General features: G+C 40.2%; 1 long non-coding RNA gene across 2 annotated transcripts in view; it reads left to right on the plus strand.

Annotated features, from left to right (window-relative positions):
* The first annotated feature begins 2500 nt into the window (after positions 1–2500).
* Positions 2501–21431, plus strand: part of LINC01630 (long intergenic non-protein coding RNA 1630) — a 170428-nt gene continuing 151497 nt past the window's right edge. For both annotated transcript variants that reach the window (NR_040074.1, NR_040075.1), the window contains exon 1: positions 2501–2716. This is a non-coding gene — a long non-coding RNA (long intergenic non-protein coding RNA 1630). The remainder of the gene's footprint in view (positions 2717–21431) is intronic.

Genomic DNA, 21431 nt, shown 5'->3' on the forward strand with positions numbered 1-21431 from the left:
TCCCTCCCTCAATATGTAGGGATTACAATTCAAGATGAGATTTGGGTGGGGACACAGAGCCCAATCATATCATTGCCTAAAAGTTTTTGTCCTGCTCGGCTGCCCATTCCACATTCTTTGGGCTAGAGAGAGCAGGCTTTTCTTGGGCTTTTCTGTCTGCACCTGATGGCATTTCTGGGTTGCTGGCTTCTCCACCATCCAGGCTGGGGTTCATGAGACAAAAAGAAAATCAAGGAGCTCACCTCAGGTCCCAAAGTCCTTAGCCCCTCTGTCTTCTTCTTTTTTTTTTCCTTTTTTGAGAAGGAGTCTCACTCTGTTGACCAGCCTGGAGTGCAGTGGCGTGATCTCAGTTCACGGCAACCTCTGCCTCGCAGGTTCAAGTGATTCTCCTGTCTCAGCCTCCTGAGTAGCTGGGATTACAGGTACCTGCCACCATGCCTGGTTAATTTTTGTATTTTTAGTAGAGATGGGGTTTTACCATGTTGGCCAGTCTGGTCTCAAACTTCTGACCTCAAGTGATCCACACTCCTGGGCCTCCCAAAGTGCTGGGATTACAGATGTGAGCTTCCACGCATGGCCCAGCCTCCTGCCTTCTTCTCTCCACCCTTCAGGGTTTCCTCATTTATATATATATTCCAGAGATTTTAGCTATACTAAATGGAAGGAAAGGGGAAATTGGTGTTTACATGATATAAAGAGTATTTACTTTTTTTGGAGTCAAATTTTTTTTTTTTTTTTTTGCTTTCATTGTCATGCTTCCCCTCCTAAGAACCACATAAATATTTATCTATTTTTAATGCTTTTGTAGTTTCATCTTTTATATTTGTCTTTAAGCAAGTGTTTATCACAGTCTGGCTTATAGACTGTAGTTTCTTGGTCCACCTAAGAACTACTGAATCAGAATCTCTGGGAGTCTCTCTTTTTACAAACTCTCCAGGTCATTAAATATCAACCAACATTTGAGATCCACTTCTTCATCCATTCAAAAAAATTTTTTGGTGTAAGTTGTAAGGCAGGCCTCTCACCTATTTTTTTTTCCCTAAGTGGTTAGTCAATTGCCTTAAAACCATTTATTAAATTATTCTATTTCCTTCGCTGACTTAAAATGCTACCATGATAAAATATTAAGTTTATATATATAAATATAAATATTTGGGTCTGTTTCCAGATGTTCCATTTTGCATCATTGATCTGTCTGACCATTCTGGCGCCAGTAACTTACTCTCTTTAATTGCTGTAACTCTAGTCTGGGTAGATTTCTGAATGTTGCCCTGCACCAGCCTCTAAAAGCCTCATAAGAAACCATTTGCCAGGAGAGAAGTAGATGACTCATATGTGAAGATGCTTTGTAAATTGCAAAGCGCTCTGGCCTTTCAGCCTACCCTTGACACTAGCACTTCCTAAAACACTGATCTCATCCCTTCCCTTCCTGACTCTAAAGCCTTACTCAGAAGATGAAGCTCATTATCCTGGCATTCAAGGTCTTTCCTTCACCACCTGGTCCCCATATCCCCCTTTTCAAAATGACCGTCCACTTGTCTTCAATACAATCCTCTTTAATCAGGTTTGCCTGTGATCTGTTTTTCAAGACTTGCCTGACACATTTCTTGCATTCGATCTTATTGTTTTCTCTACCATGAAGTACATTCTTTAAAATTACTTACCGTCCTCCAAGGCCAATCTCCTTCCAGAAAGCTTTTTATCTGAATTTTCCAGCTTTCCTCGTAGCATCCACTTTACACTTAGCATACATTGAGCTATGACAGCTCTCCTCTGATGCAATTACTTTTGTTATTTGTGTTTTCTGGAGTGTGTATATCATTTCACTCAACAGTAGTGTAATATTCTTACCCACAGAGGCTTTGCCTTCTCCTTCTTTGTGTGTACCTGCATTTCCCCTAGTAAAGTGTGACACACACAGCAGACATTCACTCAATGTATGTTTACTGGCTAAATAAAGAAAGGGTACTATTAGATCTCAATGAAAGTCTGTGATTGTTTTGTATTGCTCAAACCCAGACAGAGGATTGGTCATCTTGCTTCATCTATTTTCAGGTATGTGTTCAGTTCAGAGAAAAATCATAGGTAAATGTTGTGTTCTGAGATAATCACTGCTTTATACTAATCAGCTAGACAATGATCTCATGGGATACAATGGTCCTGTGCAGAGATGTAGAAACCCAGGAATTTCTTCTTCACATCCTTGCAAAAATCGCCCTGCAGCTCAGAATGCTCTCTATAAGACAGGATAGAGATTGTTTTAGGATGCTATTGTCTTCCCTGCCCACAGTCCCCTCAGAGGGGGAACTTACTCACAGAAAGCCCTTGTTGTCTCAGCTGCTGTTCTTTTTATCACTTGATTCAGTTTCTCCCTGGCCACAGCTGATTGGACTTAACCATAGCAGCTGATTGGACTTACCGTACCAGCACAGAGATAAGCTGAGCCAATCAGGGTCTTGCTTGGGTGAATAGAAATGAAGAAACACAAAAGAAAGCTGCCAATTGGATATGGGTATTGTAGCTGAAACGTCTTGCGAGCTGAGTCAGGGTCGGGGAAGCTGTGATGGCAATGAGAAGTCAACACACTGAGGATGGAGAGAAAGAAGATGAGTCTGGGAGAGAAAGAGAATGATTCTTCTGGCCGAGGGAAAGCAAGAATATCTGTTCCTGCAACTGCACTGATTCTAGAAACACTCTCTATTCGAACTCTCATGAGGTAACTTCTTGTTCCTTAATTCTGGGTCTCCTCTACTCCTGTTCTTGACTCCTCATGAGATCATTTGAGCTTAGTAATAAACCCCACTTATCTTTACCAGGCTTGAGGGAATGCGTGTGTGTGGGGTCTCTGCTCCTTTCAACAAAATTATCCTCTATAAAATAGGTGGCACTGGGGGAATGGTTATCAGCTGGGTTTTTTTTTTTGTTTGTTTGACAGTTTGTTTTTGGTGTGGGGGTTCCTGAAGAATGTATATTTAATTGTAGTATTAGTCACCTGAGTTAGAATAGCTGGATGATGAGTGTTTTAAAAAAATACTGCTTTTGGCTGGGAGTGGTGGCTCATGCCTGTAATCCCAGCACTTTGGGAGGCCCAGGTGGGCGGATCACGAGGTCAGGAGATCGAGACCATCCTGGCTAACAAAGTGAAACCCCGTCTCTACTAAAAATACAAAAAATTAGCTGGGCGTGGTGGTGGGCGCCTGTAGTCCCCGCTACTCCGGAGGCTGAGGCAAGAGAATGGGGTGAACCTGGGAGGCGGAGCTTGCAGTGAGCCGAGTTCGGCGCCACTGCACTCCAGCCTGGGCGACAGGGCGAGAATCCATCTCAAAAAAAACCAAAAAACAAAACAAAACAATAAAAAACATTGCTTTCAATACACTTTTAAGCTTTTAATACTTTTTTCATGAAAATTTTCAAATATTGAGACCAGTAGAAAGAATAGTAGAATAGGTATCCATCAATCTACCACCTAGATTTAACACTTATTAACATTTTTCCCTATTTGCTCTATCTCCGTATTTCTTTTCTGTTGTTGGATTATTTTAAAGTAAACTACAGATATTGTAATATATTTCCCCTAAGTACTTCAGTATGCATCTCTAAAAGAGGTGTGTTCCTACATGACCACAATACCGTTGTCACATAAAACACAATTGGCAGTATTTTCTTAATGTCATTAATAACCTAACTATTAAGAAAATAGTGCCAATTGTGTTTTATGTGACAAGCATAAAAAGAAGAAAAATTGGGACTCATTTAAATAGTCCCAATTTTCCTCAAAATGTCTTTTATAGATGCTTCTTTTCACACCTTGATATAAAGATGGCACGGCATTGAATTGTTAAATTTTGTCCTTCAAGTCTCTCCTAATCTAGAAGTGTCTTCCTCTTTATTTTAAAGGAAGAAATTAGGCCAGATATTTGGCAGACTGTCCTACATCCTAGATCTGTCTGATAGTTTCCTCACAGTCCTGTTTATCTTGTTTCTCTCTTCCCAGTAATTCCTATACAATGTAAGTTACATTTCAAGCCAACTCTCTTCCTCAGCCACCTCTTGTAGTACAGGGATGGTCACTTGATCCAAGGGTAATTTATCCACTACATTTTTGGTGATAATAGCTCAGAGGTGGTTATGCTGTGTATTTCATATTGCATCACAGCAGGAGGCACTTAATGTCTGGATGACTGTCCCACTATTTGTGATACTGTGTTGGTTACTCTGTTCAAGGTGATGACTGCCAGATCCCTCTATTGTAAAGGAAGGCATCTCCTTTTGTGATAAGAAAATAAGCTATGGGTGATACTATTGAGTTTTCCATTAACCTTTCACCTAATGATTTTAGTATCTACTATTGATTCTTTCTGGAATGGATGAACTTTGTCACTAACTAATATTTTCTGACAATAGGATAGGCTACAGGGAGACTGAGAAGCGGAGGCATGAAATCTTCTTTGTTGGAGATTGTTATGCATGTTACTATTATTATGGATATATGTATTGTTATTTATTGCAGCCTAACAAACTGTCCCAAAATATAGTGACATCAAACAACAACAATACATTTATGATCTCTCCTGGTCTCTGTGGGTCAGGAATTTGGGAGGATATGGCTGGGTGCTTCTAGCTTAGGGTCTCCAATGTGGTGGTCGTCAGATGGGGCTGGAGCTAGAAAAGCCGGAACCTAGATTATCTGGGGACTGGCAGGGAGTTTTTATCTTTGTGTTATCTCAGGCCCACCCTGTGTCATTTCTCTGCATGGGGTGGTTTGGGTTTCCTTGCAGCATGGTGTCCTCAGGGTGGTAGGACTTTACATGGTGGCTGGTAAGGACTGAACATTTGTGTCCTTCCAAAATTCACATGTTAAAATCCTAACTCCCAAGGTGATGCTATTAAAAGGTGGGCTCTTTAGGAGGTGATAAGTCATGAGGGTGGAGCCCTCTTGAGTGGGATAAGTGCCTTTAGAAGAGGTCCCAGAGAGAGCTCACATGTCCCTTCTACCATGTGAGGATACAATGGGAGGATGTCGTCTATGAACCAGACACCAAATCTGCTGGTGCCTTCATCTTGGACCCCCCAGCCTCTAGAGCTGTGAGAAATAAGTTTCTGTTGTTTCTAAGCCGTGCTGTTTATGGTATTTTGTTATAGCAGCCTGAGCAGACTAAGACAGGGGCTCAGGGTTCCAGCGTGTTTCCAGTGAGCTGGGTGGAAATGGCTTTGTCCTTTGCAGTTGGCCCTTGGAAGCCATGTAGCATCACTATACAGTACTCTATTGGTTGACCAGTCATGACAGTTGGCACAGATTCAAGGGGAAGGGACACACATCCCACTCTTGACAGTGAAAGTGTCAAAACATCAGCAGACATGTTTAAAAACACTATATTGTTTTTATGAAGTAAGCATATACATCTGTATTTACTAATATTTGCCTTTAAAAAGGATCTGCATAATTAATAATTGAGAAAAACAGAGCAATTAAAAATAAGACAAATAATAAATAATAAATGGATCAAAGAAACAGATATACCTGCCATCTGGACAGATTATAGTTCCAATGTAAAGGATGAAGGACTTAGGTGTTTGTAGCTCTAGTTGCTGGGTAAAAGGTTGTTTACAAATTTACCTGAAGAGTTATTTTTTTCCTCTTGACACTGAATTTTAGAAGGACTTTATTAAATGTATTCTTTCATCAGGGCCATTGAGAAAGAGAACCGTCAATGCCTGGCTTTGGTTGTTCAGAAGACAGAGAAATACTCTTTAGGTGGACACTTGTGAAACAATTTCTCTGGGAAAACAGAAACTCGAATACCAATATTAGCTTTTGATTAGTTTCTGCAGGGGAACTAAGATAAGTTGTGAGTATGTTGCCTTCTGAAGATGTAGCCCCTGCTCTGGTAGGGTCTTGCTCAGGGAACCTTGGCAAAAACTTGTCAACTCCGGCCACACATTATAATCACAGGATGGAAGCAACTCTTACAAACCCACATGCCGAAGTTCATTTATCAATTATGCAATTGTATTCTTTAGACCAATTGAATACAATCTCTGGGGGTAGGATATCGGCATTAGTATTTTTTTTTAAAACTCCACAAGTGATTCCAGTGTGTGATCAGGATCTAGAACCATTGCTTTAGAGCAGGGCTTGGTAAACTGTTGTGAAAAGGGCCATGTAGTAAATATTTCCAGATTTGTGGTCATACTGCTTCCATCCCAGTGCTTCAGCTTCGCCTTTCAGCAGGACAGCAGCCATAGACAATGGGCATGATGAATGGGCATGGCTGTGTTCCAATAAAACTTTATTACTGACACCTTGTTTGGGGACCAGTTACATTTCAGCTCTCTTTAATAGCATCATCCTTGTATGTAGAACCTCAGATGTGCAGACATGAAAGAAGGGAGTACATTTATAACTATTGTGACTGTCATGGGCATTTTGAGTGGCAATTTAAATTCTTCTCTTTTTTTCCCCAGAGATGACTTTATTACTCACAGCAAAAGCAGTAGCCAGAGTATCAGAATTTGTGCTTTTCCCCCTGAACCCCAGTTCCCACAAGGGTAAGAATTAGGTCCTGCATAGATACCTACACATGCAGTGGGTCATGTCATAAAAAACAATGAGGGTGGAGAACCAGCCATTCTATAGCAGGCAGTGGCTTACTTGCTCTTTTCCCTCAGCTCTGTTTTTTTTTTTTTTTTTTTTTGAGACACGGTCTCACTCTGTCACCCTGGCTGGAGTGCAGTGGTGCGATCTCGGCTCACTGCAACCTCCGCCTCCTGGGTTCAAGCGATTCTCGTGCCTCAGCCTCCTGAGTGGCTGGGATTACAGGTGGCCACACCACCGCACCCAGCTAATTTTTTTTTGTATTTTTTGGTAGAGACGGAGTTTCACCCTGTTGGCCAGGCTGGTTTTGAACTCCTGACCTCAAGTGATCTGCCTACTTTGGCCTCCCCAAGTGTTGGGATTACAGGCATGAGCCACAGCGCCCAGCCTTTCCCTCAGCTCTCAAGGTGCACATTGCAAATGCACCCCTGCAAAATGGCCCCAATAAAGAACCTTGCATTTCTGGCACATCCAGCAAGAATGTGCAGGAATGCAAAAAGCCCATGGAGAACCATCTCCCAACATCAGTACATGTCCCTGAAATGAAAATTAACCTGTCTCAGAAAGATATAGACAAGAAAATGTGCTATTACTAATGTTTTAAACTATATAAACTAACAACTACCTTTTGCCAAAACTTAGACTTGAGTATCTTTTGAAAAATCAGGTAATAGTGATATTTCCTTTTCAAGCACTATCCTGGTTCCTTATATTAAAACTAGACTCCATATCAGGATGACCAGAGTTTGAACTCTGGAGGCATGGCCCATGAATACAAATATCTTTTCTGTCCCCTACCATTTCTTTTCTTTTTCTTTTCTTCATTGTTTGTTTTCTTGTCCCCTACCATTTCTTATTGCTTTCTAACAAAATTAAAATTTCTAAATTATTATATATTGTCTTTTATTTTAAAAAAGGAAGGGGGTTAATTCACAAGCTTATATATTTCTTTGCACAGCTTCCCCCCACCCCAGCTCTCCTCCCACCACAAATCTTCTGTCCTTAGGACATAGATCTTTGGAACTAGGAATGACATTAGAGATTGTTTCCTTTCTGGTCCTCCAGAAGGTCTGTGACTTGCCCAACATGGCTAGGGCAGGAACCAGGAGGGCAGGACCAGAATTCTGGCCTCGAGTCCCCTGTCTAGAGATCAGCTAACTCTTGCCCTCTGCCTCCCTCCTCTCTGCATTCACACCTGATTCCTGCTTTACAACTTCCTCAAACACTAAGGTGTCCACTGACCCGGTCCTCTGTCTCTTTCTGGATCCAAGACCTTGAAATGACCTTGATTTGTTTTCTAGTCATTGTTAATTATTTGAGGATGGAGTAATGCATTGTCCTGCATTCTCCATCAGCTTACAGCTGATGGTGAGAAGTGAGAGGTGACACAGTTATTGGAGGGCAGGATTGGAGGGCCTCCAACTTACTGTGGTTTAACTTATGAATTTTAGACTTTATGACAGTGCTAAAGTGATATGTATTTAGTAGACACTGTACTTTGAATTTTGACCTTTTCCTGGGCCAGCGATTTGCAGAATGATGCTCTCTCATGATGCTAGGCAACAGCAGTGAGCCGCAGCTCCCATTCAGCTGCACGATCAGCAGGGTAAACAACTAATACTGCACTCTACAGTATACTGCATTCAATGAATTACATGAGACATTCAACTTTATGAAATAGGCTTTGTGTTAGGTGATTTTGCCCAACTGTAGGCAAATATAAATGTTCAGAGCATCTTTAAGATAGGCTAGGCTAACCTGTGATGTTCAGTAAGTTAAATATATTAAATGCATTTCCAACTTGATATTTTCCACTATTGATGGGCTTCCTGGGAGGTAAGCCCATTGTAAGTCGAAGATCATCCATAGTCCCTTCAGATTCAAGTTCAAAAACATCCTTTTCTTCTGAAAATACCTTCACTTTTCTGCTTGTTAAGGCTGGACAATTTTCCCCTACCCCCAACCTTTTCCCAAATCCTTTTCTCTCAGACTTGGAAGACCCTACTCTCTCCTAGCTCTGTTTCTAGGCCTCTCTATTCTTTTAGCTTCTTTTAGAAGACAGTCCACATTGTGTTATTGTCAGTGCTGGCTTAATCCTGGGCCAGTTTCCATCTGTGTAATCTTTTGCGTAATCTCATCTGCTCTCACAATTTTGAATTCCAAAAATACTCACACAGCTTCCTTATCTCTGCCTGGTATTTTTGCAGTTGCCTACTAGCTAAAATAATCCATTTAAAATTCTTGTCACATGTCAAAGAATTTAGGGAAGAATGGCATTTTCAAATTTTGACTGCATTACTAAATCACTTTACACTGGATAAATCAGCTGTCTTTGACCTTATAACTTTTTTCTTTTAGTTATTTTATGTGCATGAATTTCCAGTTGTATGAGGTATAAGAATTATTAAATGAAAAGCTATGGAAATTTTTGAGATCTTGATTTCTTTTGGTTTTAATTACTGACTATATTCATAGTCTAGGTAATAATTTGATTTTGAGATGACTCCTATGAGCAAACACTGTATATATTCCTATATAAAAAAGGTTAATTAAAAAATCAAATATCATTTCTCATCTGTTAAGCCACCCTTAATTGTTAAAATAATTATTTTCTGTCTTTGTCATGCTTTGGCAAAACTGGTAGCAGTGCAAATTGAAATAACATTTTTAGAAAGCCAGTTGGCAACATTCAAAGGGATGTTTTTACAATAAAAACGGAAGGTGTATCTTACTGTGTTTGAATGTAATTAAAATGTTCAGAGAGAGAAAATGTTTAGAGGATGCAAGGATAGGGAGGTGGGATGTGGGACCTGATAGCACTGGGCTGGTTCAAAGATTATATTTAGATTTTCTATATGCTTGAGGATGGGGCTTTATGGACTCTAGAAGAAGTCTCACGGCTTTTTAATTTAACTCTGAGACTTTTGATTGGACCAAAGACTCCCTTTCCCAAAATTCCAACTTTTGCATTCTCCTGCCAAAACTTTCCGGTAGGAAATAATGAGATGGAGTGCGCAAAGCCTAGCAGGGGTGAGGCTCCTCCTGTCCTCTCTGTGCTCAGGGTACTGGGTCAGTGCTCTGGCTTGTAAGCTTTCCTCTGAGAAGCAGGAAATCAAAGGCAGACCATGGTGCCTGCAAGTATGGCCTGGGAGTCATCTTCAAGGTCTCCCACTGCCCAGCTATCCTCAGGGTTTTATACTTTTACATAGAAACACCTGAATCAAGACAAAAATGCATCTGGCAACTTATTGCACTTTTTTTCCCACATTTGATCTTTTTCAGCATTAGCCAAGTCAAAAATAGTCTGGAGATTTGAGTGTTGGAACAATTAGCCACCTGTATTTTATGTGGAAAAAAATAAGAATTTCCAGGCTTGGCTCAGCCATTTTGTGTTGATTATACTGAGTACATCGAAGCGAGGTGACTGAATTTTGCACACATTAGAAGCAGCAGCTAAAACTCTGTACAGCTTGTGTTATAATTGGGAAAGCAGGGATCTGTTCCAGCATCGTATCATTCCCTGAGTTCTCTAGTAATATCACACTAACTTTCTCAGCAAAGCTAAGCAGATTAGTTGGAGGGGGTAGTAAGAAACTTGGTTGCAATAGAAATTCTTTCTGGTTAGGAAAAATAAAAGGCAGTGATAGGCCACTGAACATTCTGGGAACAGTCATGCCTCTGCCTTTTGTCCCTGACAGAGAAGATAAAGTCACGTGTAGATGACGCTGAAGAGGATTTCTTTGAGTTGCCAGCAAAGCTCTGTTTCAGTTATCTATTGATGTGAAACACAAAATTCCAACGTAATGGCTTAAAACAACGATGTATGATTGCGACATTCTGTGGGCCCAGGAGTGGGGCGTATCTTGGTGGTTCTTCTGCTTTGCATGATGTTGACTGGGTCACTACTGCAGCTGCACTCAGTTGGGAGCTCAGCTGGGGTGGCATATCCAAAGTGGCCTCTCATTGTCCGGGACTTTTCTCAGACGGCCCTCTGATAGTTCAGTAGTCTAGTCTGGATTTCTTATGGCATCACAGCTGGCTCTGAGAATGTAAAAGTGGAAGCCGCCAGGCCTATTTAGGCCTGGACCTGGGACTGGCACAGCACTGGCACTCATTTAATTGGCCAAAACAAGTCACAAGACCAACTGAGATTGAAGGGGAAGGGAAGTAGCCTCCAACTCTTGGTGGGCTGGGGTGTCTGGGGGGCAGGTTGGGTTGAGGCAACTCGTCTCTTGGAGGGTCCCAAGCACAGATAGGATTGTATTTTCCTTTAGATAACCCAATTTAAATTTATTATGCAAATGTTATTGATCACAAAGTGTTAATATTTATGTTATTTATTTAAATAAATAAAATGCTGGATGTAAAATAATTTTATAAATGGTAAAATACTTCAGTAAATCAAGTTCTGGCCTAATGGAAAGGCATAATTGAAAGGCTTTTACAAAATGTAAAGCTTGGGGTCCTTATTTCACGTAGGAGAAAACCGAGGCTCCTATAAATATTTAACTTGCTTAAATTAATCATTTTTCAGTTTTAAGTCATTAAATTTTTGTTTGGCGTGTTGACAGAAAAAGGACTAGAAATACCTCTTAACTCCCAGCTCAGTGCTTATCTTTCTCTCTACCTTCTAATCATAACTTAACAGTTGTTCCTGAAGAAAATCTAACCTTTTGGTTTTCTTTGCCATAATCCAGAGTTTCTTGCCTTTGGCACTATTGACATTTTGAGCCTAATGATTCTTGGTTGTTGGGGGTTGTCTCGTACATTGTGGGATGTTTGGCAATACCCTTGGCTTCTGTCCACTGCCATAATCCAAGGCACTGACATTTCTTATGCTGCAGTTCCTGAACTGTCTACATAATCATGATTGAGAATTAACTATTTTCCCAATCAAAAACGCAGGCACAGGTCTGATAAAGGACTCCCCCTGCCCCAGTTTGTACATTCAGATATAGAAAAATGTTTTAAGTTATAAATTAAATGTATAAAATTAAAATTTTGATTTTATTACATACATTATACAGATCACCTTTAAAAACACAATTCCTTAAAATTCAGTTGTTTTGGCAAAATGACAAAGTATGGTTCATAGGATTTTTCTTGCAAATCGAAACTGATAACTGTTGGCAAATGTCAGCTGTTATCTTTTTACCTCATTTCCAGTTTGGGTAGAACCTAACTGGAGAGGTGATGTTAAATAACAGTGTGTTCATAAAACACAAAGTGAAGAAGAGATTTGGCAAAGTGTCTAGTTGATTTGAAACAAGTAGACCAGAACATATTCAGTTTAAAAACACTTCCTGATGCAAGTATTATCCAGACTGAATTTCTACACTAATCAAATTGTTTCAAGTATTCATTTCACTTGGTATTGTGTCAAAACAGCTGAAGTGTCTGATAAATTATTCTTTCCTAGTTGTTTATGACTCCAAGCATACATATAACAAAACTGAATTTGATCTAACCGTTTCCATTTCTCTTTCCCATGTGAATGATAATGTTGATGGAACTATGGAAGCAACACCAACAATGAAATTAAATAATGTCAAGGTTTCTTGCTTAGGAAAGCTAGGCAGCATTAGAAGGTGCCTGGGGAGGCAAAGCAGAGTGTACCCAAATGCTTCGGTCTTGATTGTTTAATAGTTGTTAAAAGCCAGTCAACTCACATTTATTTCTCCTTCAATTCCATAAATGGACCTGCAAAAATTTGCAAATAAATCTACACAGCTTTGTCATACATAAACATGTGCTTGAATTCATTCCTTCATTTGCATTTTTGAACTTTCCCAAATACAAATACCTACAATAGCCCAATATGCTTGTTCTGCTCATTTGGAAAAGCTATCTGATGGTTTTCCCTTTGGCATTTTGAATAACTGCTAGCTGCAGATGCTAAATAACTCTCAAGTCTGTGTGACTTAATATTTCTGCCGAGTTAATCAAATAAAATACAGTTGAAATCTCAACCAGAAGATGCTATCTGTCGTCTGACATGTACTCAACTGTGATAATGAAATACTGCCTGACTTAGCCTTAAATTTTGAAGTTGAGATCCATATTGAATAAATTTTGAAGTCTGGTTTCCTGAACTTTTAAAATTACATATGAATTTAAAATTTGTTTTGCCCAATGGTGTGAAGTAAAGACTTGATATGGTTAAGGTGAATTTGGTCACATAATCAAACTTACGTATTCATGTTGATAACTTGCCTTCCCTCTGGTTACCTCCTCTCTCTTTTCTTCCCACCCTACCATGGGACTTGATTTGAGTACCTGTCCTGATCCTCTTAACTCTGCCCCACATTTAGATTCGAATTACCTTTAATTACACTCTCAAGGTGCCCAGTTTTCTTTGTGAAAGAATTGTCCTACAGAGTTCCATAGTTACATAAGAATCAGGCCCATTAATTTCTCTGTTGATTTTAATTTCTCCTGAGTATCAGATCTTTGGCAAAAGTATAAAAATTCACCAGGAGACTAAGAAAGAAGAAGAAACAACATTCCAGATCAGAAGTAATTTATATGAAGACACAAATTATTGTGATCAGTGAGGACATTTGGTTCCCTAAACCAGAATGTTACTAGCCCAGCTACGCAGAATAGTATATGTTCAGGCTCCAAAAGAAATTTCATAAGATCTGTTGTACCTTTTGATTAATTTCCTGTTAGACTTTTCTGGAAAAGAGATGAGTCTGGGAGAGGAACTCCCTACATTTTTTTCTCTGAAGCCTGTCTTTAATTCAGGGTTGCCATGTATGATGTTTTGGAGAAATGGATTGCTGAATCCAGTTTGGATGGCTGCCTATAAAGACGGAAAGGGCCTCCTGTGTGAAGGCCGCAGTGTTCTGTCCCCACCTTTGAGTCAAGGCTTGTGCTGCTCCCTCATGTATTCCCTGCAAATGACCACTGAAAATTTGACATTGTTTAAGATCAGCAAGCCCAAAATAATGTCTTATCCCAGTGTGTTGCACGGAATAGGTGTTGAGTAAATATCCAATAGTCAATCTGGCATTTACATTTAAATTGCTTTGTGAAAGCCCTTTGGGTTGCTAACTTCGCTGCTCTTTTGTTCTTTTCCTAGTTTAAGATTAGGTGGGTATTTTAGGCCAAGTCTCACAGGACATTGCATCTTGGTAGACCCTTTGCACCCAGAGGGCCCTGTCTTCAGTTTCGCATGTTCAGGGCTGTATTAAGGCACCTGGCCCACCAGATAGCATGGGACCTGGGAAAAGTGAATGGGAGTATCCTACAGGATATTTCATCGATCTATTAAAGAATTCCTTTGCAATTTTCCACAGGGGTGAAATTGTGCTTGAAGAGGTGAAAATTGATTCTTAGGGGATTGCAGAAATTTGGATATTGCAATGGTTTGTGGTTTGTCAGGTAGCTCAATGCTACCTGACAAAATCATAGTCCTTAATACTTAATTTCTCTCATTAGGGAGAAATTTAATTTCAAATTGAAATTTATTAATTAATTTAAAGTTTAAATATTTTTTTTTCTTCGTAGAGGTACAATAATGAAAAAGAAAAAAAAAGTCTGAGAAACACGGTTCTGGAGCACACATCTCTTCTGTGGCTTTGGAAACTACCCACGATAAATATTCCTTGATCTCCCTCCCTCAGGTAAAACCAGCACTTTAAACATATTAACATATTCCCCACTGTGGCTCTCCATTTTTTTTTTTTTTTTTTTTCCTGAGATGGAGTCTCACTCTGTCTCCCAGGCTGGAGTGCAGTGGCATGATCTTGGCTCACTGCAGCCTCTGCCTCCTGTGTTGAAACGATTCTCCTGCCTTAGCCTCCCAAGTAGCTGGGGACTATAAGCGTGCACCACCATGCCTGGCTAATTTTTGTATTTTTAGTAGAGACGGGGTAGCACCATGTTGGCCAGGCTGGTCTCAAACTCCTGACTCAAGTGATCTGCCCTCCTCAGCCTTTCAAAGTACTGGGATTACAGGCATGAGTCACCGTGCCCGGCCATCCACTGTGGCTCTTCTTAAGGTGAACTCTTGAGAAAATAACTGGAAGGAACCTTTTACATACACTGGAGACAGACAACCAAATGCTGCATCTGCCCTGAATCTCCTCATACCTCTTTGTCCTAGTTCCCACCACATATTCCCAATCTTCTATCTCTCCCAAAAGGCAGCTTTCTTTAAATTGCCAGTAAGGGCTGGGCTTTGGAAAAGGCAAGTCCTACTTTGGACCAACTATAGGTTTCTTATGCTTTTCTTTTTCTCCCTTGGAAATGTTCGTATAATTCCTTCCAGACACAGATTCCTGAGGCAGCTGCTTCTCTCCCTGGTGTGCCCAGCTGAGACTTACCTGCCCTTGACATTGGAGAAGATATGCAAATAACTCCATGAATCCTTAGGGACCCATCATGGCTTCCCTTCAAGTATTCATTCTACCTGGGCACCCATACCCAATCATAGCTAAGTCTGGACTCACCTAGACGATCTCATCTGAATCCTACTGCAGAAAGATGAGGCTGCTGGATGCTATATCCTCTTTATAAACAGCAATAATAATGTTGGTTAAAATAGATCTAGTGACTTACCCACGATGACATAGCTAATATATGGTAAGGTCAGGACAGCTTCCCCTAACAACACACACACTGGAATGTTCGTTCTCTAAGGACAGGGGCCATGCTGTTGCTCAATGTCATGTTCCCAGGGCCTAGGACAGGCCCTGGCATATAACAGGAGTCCAGTCAATATTTGTTAAATGAACAGGGTTCTTTGAGCCTGGGGCTGTCAGATCACCAAGACAATGCAGGAAACTGTCCAAAATATGTGGGTCTATTTATCTGGCCCACAGTTGATTTTACATTGGCAGCTACCACCTTCATTTTAAAAAGTGTAAAACAATAGCTGCAGCCACTTCTTCAGGCACAAAGCTTATCCCAAACTTCTGAGAGGCTTGCCATGGAGTCCAAGGACAGCTTGTTTTCTAGGCTGTATTTAATTTCAAATTAAGTGCAATTATTGTTAAAAGACAGGGTCTTCTTGTTATTTAAGTCTCTTGTATTAGGAGCCCCAAATTGTATACAGAGGTGAGACCACTCTCATTTCTGCTTTCAGTAAAGTTTACACACAACACAAATGCTCTTGCTATGGGCTGAATGTGTGCCCCCAAAATTCATTTGTTGGAACCTAATCCCCAAGGTGATGCTATTAAGAGGTGGGGTAAGGTGGGGTTATAGGGAGGTGACTGGGTCATGAGGACAGTACCCCAAAGGAAGTCATTCATCCCATCCCCTATGTGAGGACACAGCAAGAAACCACCATCTACAAAGCAGGGAAACAGTCCTCACCAGATGCCGAATTGCCAGAACCTTGATCTTAGACTTTCAGGCCTCCTGAACTGTGAGCAATAAATTTCTGTTGTTTATAAGCCACCTGGTTTATGGTGTTTTTTGCTACAGCATCCTAAACAGAATAACACGGTGCTAAGTAAAAATATGCATGTACTTCAGAAGATAGAAAATGCCCTACAAAATTAAGTTCACTTCTCTTGCAATCAATCATTTATTGTGAGAAAAGAGGGAGCTACAATGAATTGTCACAGATTTTGTACACAAACATAAACCAACTTTCTTCTGTATTAGCTTCTGATGGGAAATGTGTTTTGGTTAGCTCAGTAGGAGTGGAATAAATACATTCCCAAATGAAGAAAATCAGCCACTCACCTAGCCAATCATGGGCCAACAGCATTTATTATGCACTAGCACTCTTACGCAATGAGGAAGATAAAGATGGATTGAGAAAAAATCTTGTCATTGATAAGACTGCAATAGATGAGGGTAGGTAAAACATAACATAATTACATTGCAAGATAGAAAGTAAGAAGTGTAAAAGACTATTAGGTGTTTAAAGGAGGGAAGAATTTTTTCCTTCTTTGGGGGATAGGGTAAGAGATGGCAGGATCAGATAAAGCAGTGTGGAGGCAATATTTGGTTGGGTCTTAAATTAAGGAGTAACTTGGATTACAGATATTAAAAACAAGAAGGAAAGAATAATCCAGGCAGAGAATATGACAAGTGGTATAGAAGCAAAAAAACGAAGGCAAAAGGACAAAGCCCAGTGTGATTGGAATGTGTGGCCCTGATTCTTGGGAACTAACCCTAGAAGGTGCTGGAAGCTGTGGGAGTCAGTAGAGCTATTGTCATTCTGAAGTCTTATTGAAATGGCTTTTCCTGTTCCCTTTAAATTAGGCATGGCCATTTATCTTAATTTGATTTCCCGTAAAGGTGGACCCTGAGACAAAGTCTTGGGTGCAGTATAGCATATGTGGAAGGTGATCTCAGGAAACGAAAGTGAGGAAGTGGTCACACCTGTAATCCCAGCACTTTGGGAGGCCGAGGTGGGCAGGTCAGGACTTCGAGACCAGCTTGGCCAACGTGGTAAAACTCCATCTCTACTAAAAATACAAAAATTAGCTGGGCGTGGTGGTGGTGCTTGCCTGTAATCCCAGCTACTCAGGAGGCTGAGGCAGGAGAAACACTTGAACCTGGGAGGTGGAGGTTGCTGTGAGCCGAGATTGCGCCATTGCACTCCAGTCTGGGTGATAAGAGCAAAACTCTATCACACACACACACACACACACACACACACACACAAAAAGTGGGGAAGTGAGACAGGGATGAGGGAAAGCTAGCTATGGGCAACTGGTGCTCAATTCTAATGAGGCCACTCAGAGAAATAAAGTGAATTTTGCCTTAGAATTGTGTCATTAAAAAAACAAAAGTGGGATACTGGGGCATTGATCACCAACTACCACCTTCCAGCTGTTGAATGTTGCTGCAGTGGCATTATCATCCTTGTATTTCTGGATTGTGTGAGTGGAACCAGCCCTGGTGTTGGGAAAAGTCCCTGGGAATAGGAGAGAGAAGCAGGCATTTGAGGTGGAAGCTGCCAGCTTGCTGGGAACTGCACTGTGCTCCAGGGAAGCTCCAGCAGCTGAGGTGAGGTGGGGCAGGGCCTCACCGTACCTGCTCCGGCACAGACCTTAACGTTGGTCAGCAGAACATGAGCAAAAGTAAGAACTGTCACTTCTGGTGGAAGCTTTAAGAAACAACTCATGATTTCCATATTCCTTCTCCCTGTTGGGGCGACAATGATAGTTCAAATGATGGGGGTTCCCTTCACTCGTCCTGGAGTGAGAAGAAGTGGAACAGAACTAGCAGCTGACTCACAGTGGACAGACACATAGCAGGAGTGAGAAATAAACCTATTTCTTATAGGCACACAAGATTTTAAGCGTTGTGATGGGTACAACATAGCCTATCCCAATCTGACTGATGTATATATATTCTGAAGGGATTTGTTTCATGATGATTAATTATGGCAAGATACCACAAAAATCCAGTGGTACAAACAAGATAGAAATGTTTTGTTTTCTTTTTTTCTTTTTTCTTTTTTTATTATTCTTTAAGTTCTGGGGTACATGTGCAGAACGTGCAGGTTTGTTACATAGGTATACACGTGCCATGGTGGTTTGCTGCACCTATTAACCCATCAGCTACATTAGGTATTTCTCCTAATGCTATCCCTCCCCGCACCCCCCCAGCCCCCAACAGGCCATGGTGTGTGATGTTCCCCTCCCTGTGTCCTCATTGTTCAACTCCCACTTATGAGTGAGAACCTGTGGTGTTTGGTTTTCTGTTCTTGTGTTAGTTTGCTGAGAATGATGGTTTCCAGCTTCATCCATGTCCCTGCAAAGGACATGAACTCATCCTTCTTTATGGCTGCATAGTATTCCATGGTGTATTATGTGCCACATTTTCTTTATCCAGTTTATCATTGATGGGCATTTGAGTTGGTTCCAGGTCTTTGCTATTGTGAATAGTGCCACAATAAACATATGCGTGCATGTGTCTTTATGGTAGAATGATTTATAATCCTTTGGGTATATACCCAGTAGTGGGATTGCTGGGTCAAATGGTATTTCTAGTTCTAGATCCTTGAGGAATTGCCACACTGTCTTCCACAATGGTCGAACTAATTTACACTCCCAGCAACAGTGTAAAAGTGTTCCTATTTCTCCACATCCTCTTCAGCATCTGTTGTTTCCTGACTTTTTAATAAACACCATTCTAACTGGCATGAGATGGTATCTCATTGTAGTTTTGATTTGCATTTCTCTAATGACCAGTGATGATGAGCATTTTTTCATATGTTTGTTGGCTGCATAAATATCTTCTTTTGAGAAATGTCTGTTCATATCCTTTGCCCACTTTTTGATGGGGTTGTTTGTTTTTTTCTTGTAAATTTGTTTAAGTTCCTTGTATATTCTGGATATTAGCTCTTTGTCAGATGGGTAGATTGTAAAAATTTTCTCCCATTCTGTAGGTTGCCTGTTCACTCTGATGGTAGTTTCTTTTGCTGTGCAGAAGCTCTTTAGATTAATTAGATCCCATTTTTCAATTTTGGCTTTTGTTGCAATAGCTTTTGGTGTTTTAGTCATGAAGTCTATGCCCATGCCTATGTCCTGAATGGTATTGCCTAGGTTTTCTTCTAGGGTTTTGATGGTTTTAGGTCTTCTGTTTAAGTCTTTAATCCATCTTGAGTTAATTTTTGTATAAGGTGTAAGGAAGGGAACCAGTTTCAGCTTTCTGCATATGGCTAGCCAGTTTTCCCAATACCATTTATTAAATAGGGAATCCTTTCCCCATTTCTTGTTTTTGTCAGGTTTGTCAAAGATCAGATGGTTGTAGATGTGTGGTGTTATTTCTGAGGCCTCTTTTTCTGTTCCATTGGTCTATATATCTGTTTTGGTACCAGTACCATGCTATTTTGGTTACTGTAGACTTGTAGTATAGTTTGAAGTCAGGTAGTGTGATGCTTCCAGCTTTATTCTTTTTGCTTAGGGTTGTCTTGGCTATGCAGGCTCTTGTTTGGTTCCACATGCAATTTAAAGTAGTTTTTTCCAATTCTGTGAAGAAAGTAAATGGTAGTTTGATGGGGATAGCATTGAATCTATAAGTTACCTTGGGCAGTATGGCCATTTTCACAATATTGATTCTTCCTATCCATGAGCATGGAATGTTTTTCCATTTGTTTGTGTCCTCTCTTATTTCCTTGAGCAGTGGTTTATAGTTCTCCTTGAAGAGGTCATTCACATCTCTTGTAAGTTGTATTCCTAGATATTTTATTCTGTTTGTAGCAATTGTGAATGGGAGTTCAGTCATGATTTAACTCTCTGTTTGTCTGTTATTGGTGTATAGGAATGCTTGTGATTTTTGCACATTGATTTTGTATCCTGAGACTTTGCTGAAGTTGCTTATCAGTTTAAGGAGATTTGGGGCTGAGACGATGGGGTTTTCTAAAGATACAATCATGTCATCTGCAAACAGGGACAATTTGACTTCCTCTTTTCCTAATTGAATACCCTTTATTCTTTTTCCCTTTTTCTTCTCCCAGAAACAGGGTCTTGCTCTGTAGCCCAGGCTGGAGTGCATTGGTGTGATCATAGTTTGAATGCCTGGGCTCAAGTGATCCTCCTTCAGCCTTCCAAGTAGCTAGGATTACAGGCCTGCACCAGCATGCCCAGCTAATTTTTACATTTTTTATGGAGATGGGGTTCTTGCTATGTTGCCCAGGCTGGTCTGAACTCCTGACCTCAAGCAATTCTCCTACTTTGGCCATCCAAACTGCTGGGATTACAGGTGTGAACCACTATGGCTGGCTTAGAAGTGTATTTCTAAAGTCTTGTTAAAGAGAGGGTCCAGGTTCCTTTTATCTTGTTCCTTTTCCACTTACTATGGCAGGAGTCAGGAAGCTTGTTCTGCAGAGGGCCAGATAGTAAGTATCTTAGGTTTTGTGGGCCATTTGGCCTTTTTGTTATAACTACTCCAACTCTGTTGTTGGAGAGGCAAGCAACCATATAAAATATAAATGAATGGGTGTGGCTATGCTTAAAGAAAACTTTATTTTTTATTTACAAACATAAACAGCAGACCAGATTTGGCAAGCAACATGGTAAGACAACTCATAATTGAACACTGAGAACTAGAATCAAAACTGGAACGAGAGTTGGATGTTCTAGTGGCTGATGATAGCCAGATGTGTCTGTTTCTACCAAAGGGATGTATCTGCCACATAGGTTTGATTATGATACTTTCTCCTTGGACTGCATCTCTCTGATACTCCTTTATTTAGCATATTCCCCACACCTTCCATGCTAAATAAAGCTTCAGCTTGGTAGCCAATTTGTCTAAGGTAATGATGCATATCTGTGTTCTGGTTCATTATGTAATCTCATGTTTAGGTTCTGGGAGAGTTCCTCATATTTTCCATTGGCTAGCAACGAATAATTTTATATTTTTTATTGAAAAGTAAAATGTAAAAAGTCTAACCATAAGAATAAGAAGATATAGGTGAATGTGTAGTATTTTGATAAGAAAGCAGGTTTAAAAGCAACAACAACAACAAAAATCTGATTATTGCTAGTCAAATGTAATGAATAGAAAACAGATTATTTTAAAATAAAAACTTCTCCATGCCAGCCAAATACATAACATTAAATGCAAATCAAACAGAAAAAAACTAGAACGGATGACAAATGAAATCATTAAGAAATCCTAAAATAGCTTTTATATATAAATAGCTCTAATGAACAAATAAGAATTCCTATAAATAATTGTGGAAAGGATATGTGCAAGTGATTCATGAACACATGCTATTAATAGATATCAGTAGTTATTATACATGCTATTAATAGCTAATAATCCTATAAAAGACTATTTGACTTCCAGGGAAACGATAGAAAGGCAAAGGCAAATGGGAGGTTGGGAGGCATTTTGGCAGAGACAGACAGTGCTCACC

This window comes from Homo sapiens, chromosome 18 (assembly GCF_000001405.40).
Source record: "Homo sapiens chromosome 18, GRCh38.p14 Primary Assembly".
NCBI classification, from domain to species: Eukaryota; Metazoa; Chordata; class Mammalia; order Primates; family Hominidae; genus Homo; species Homo sapiens.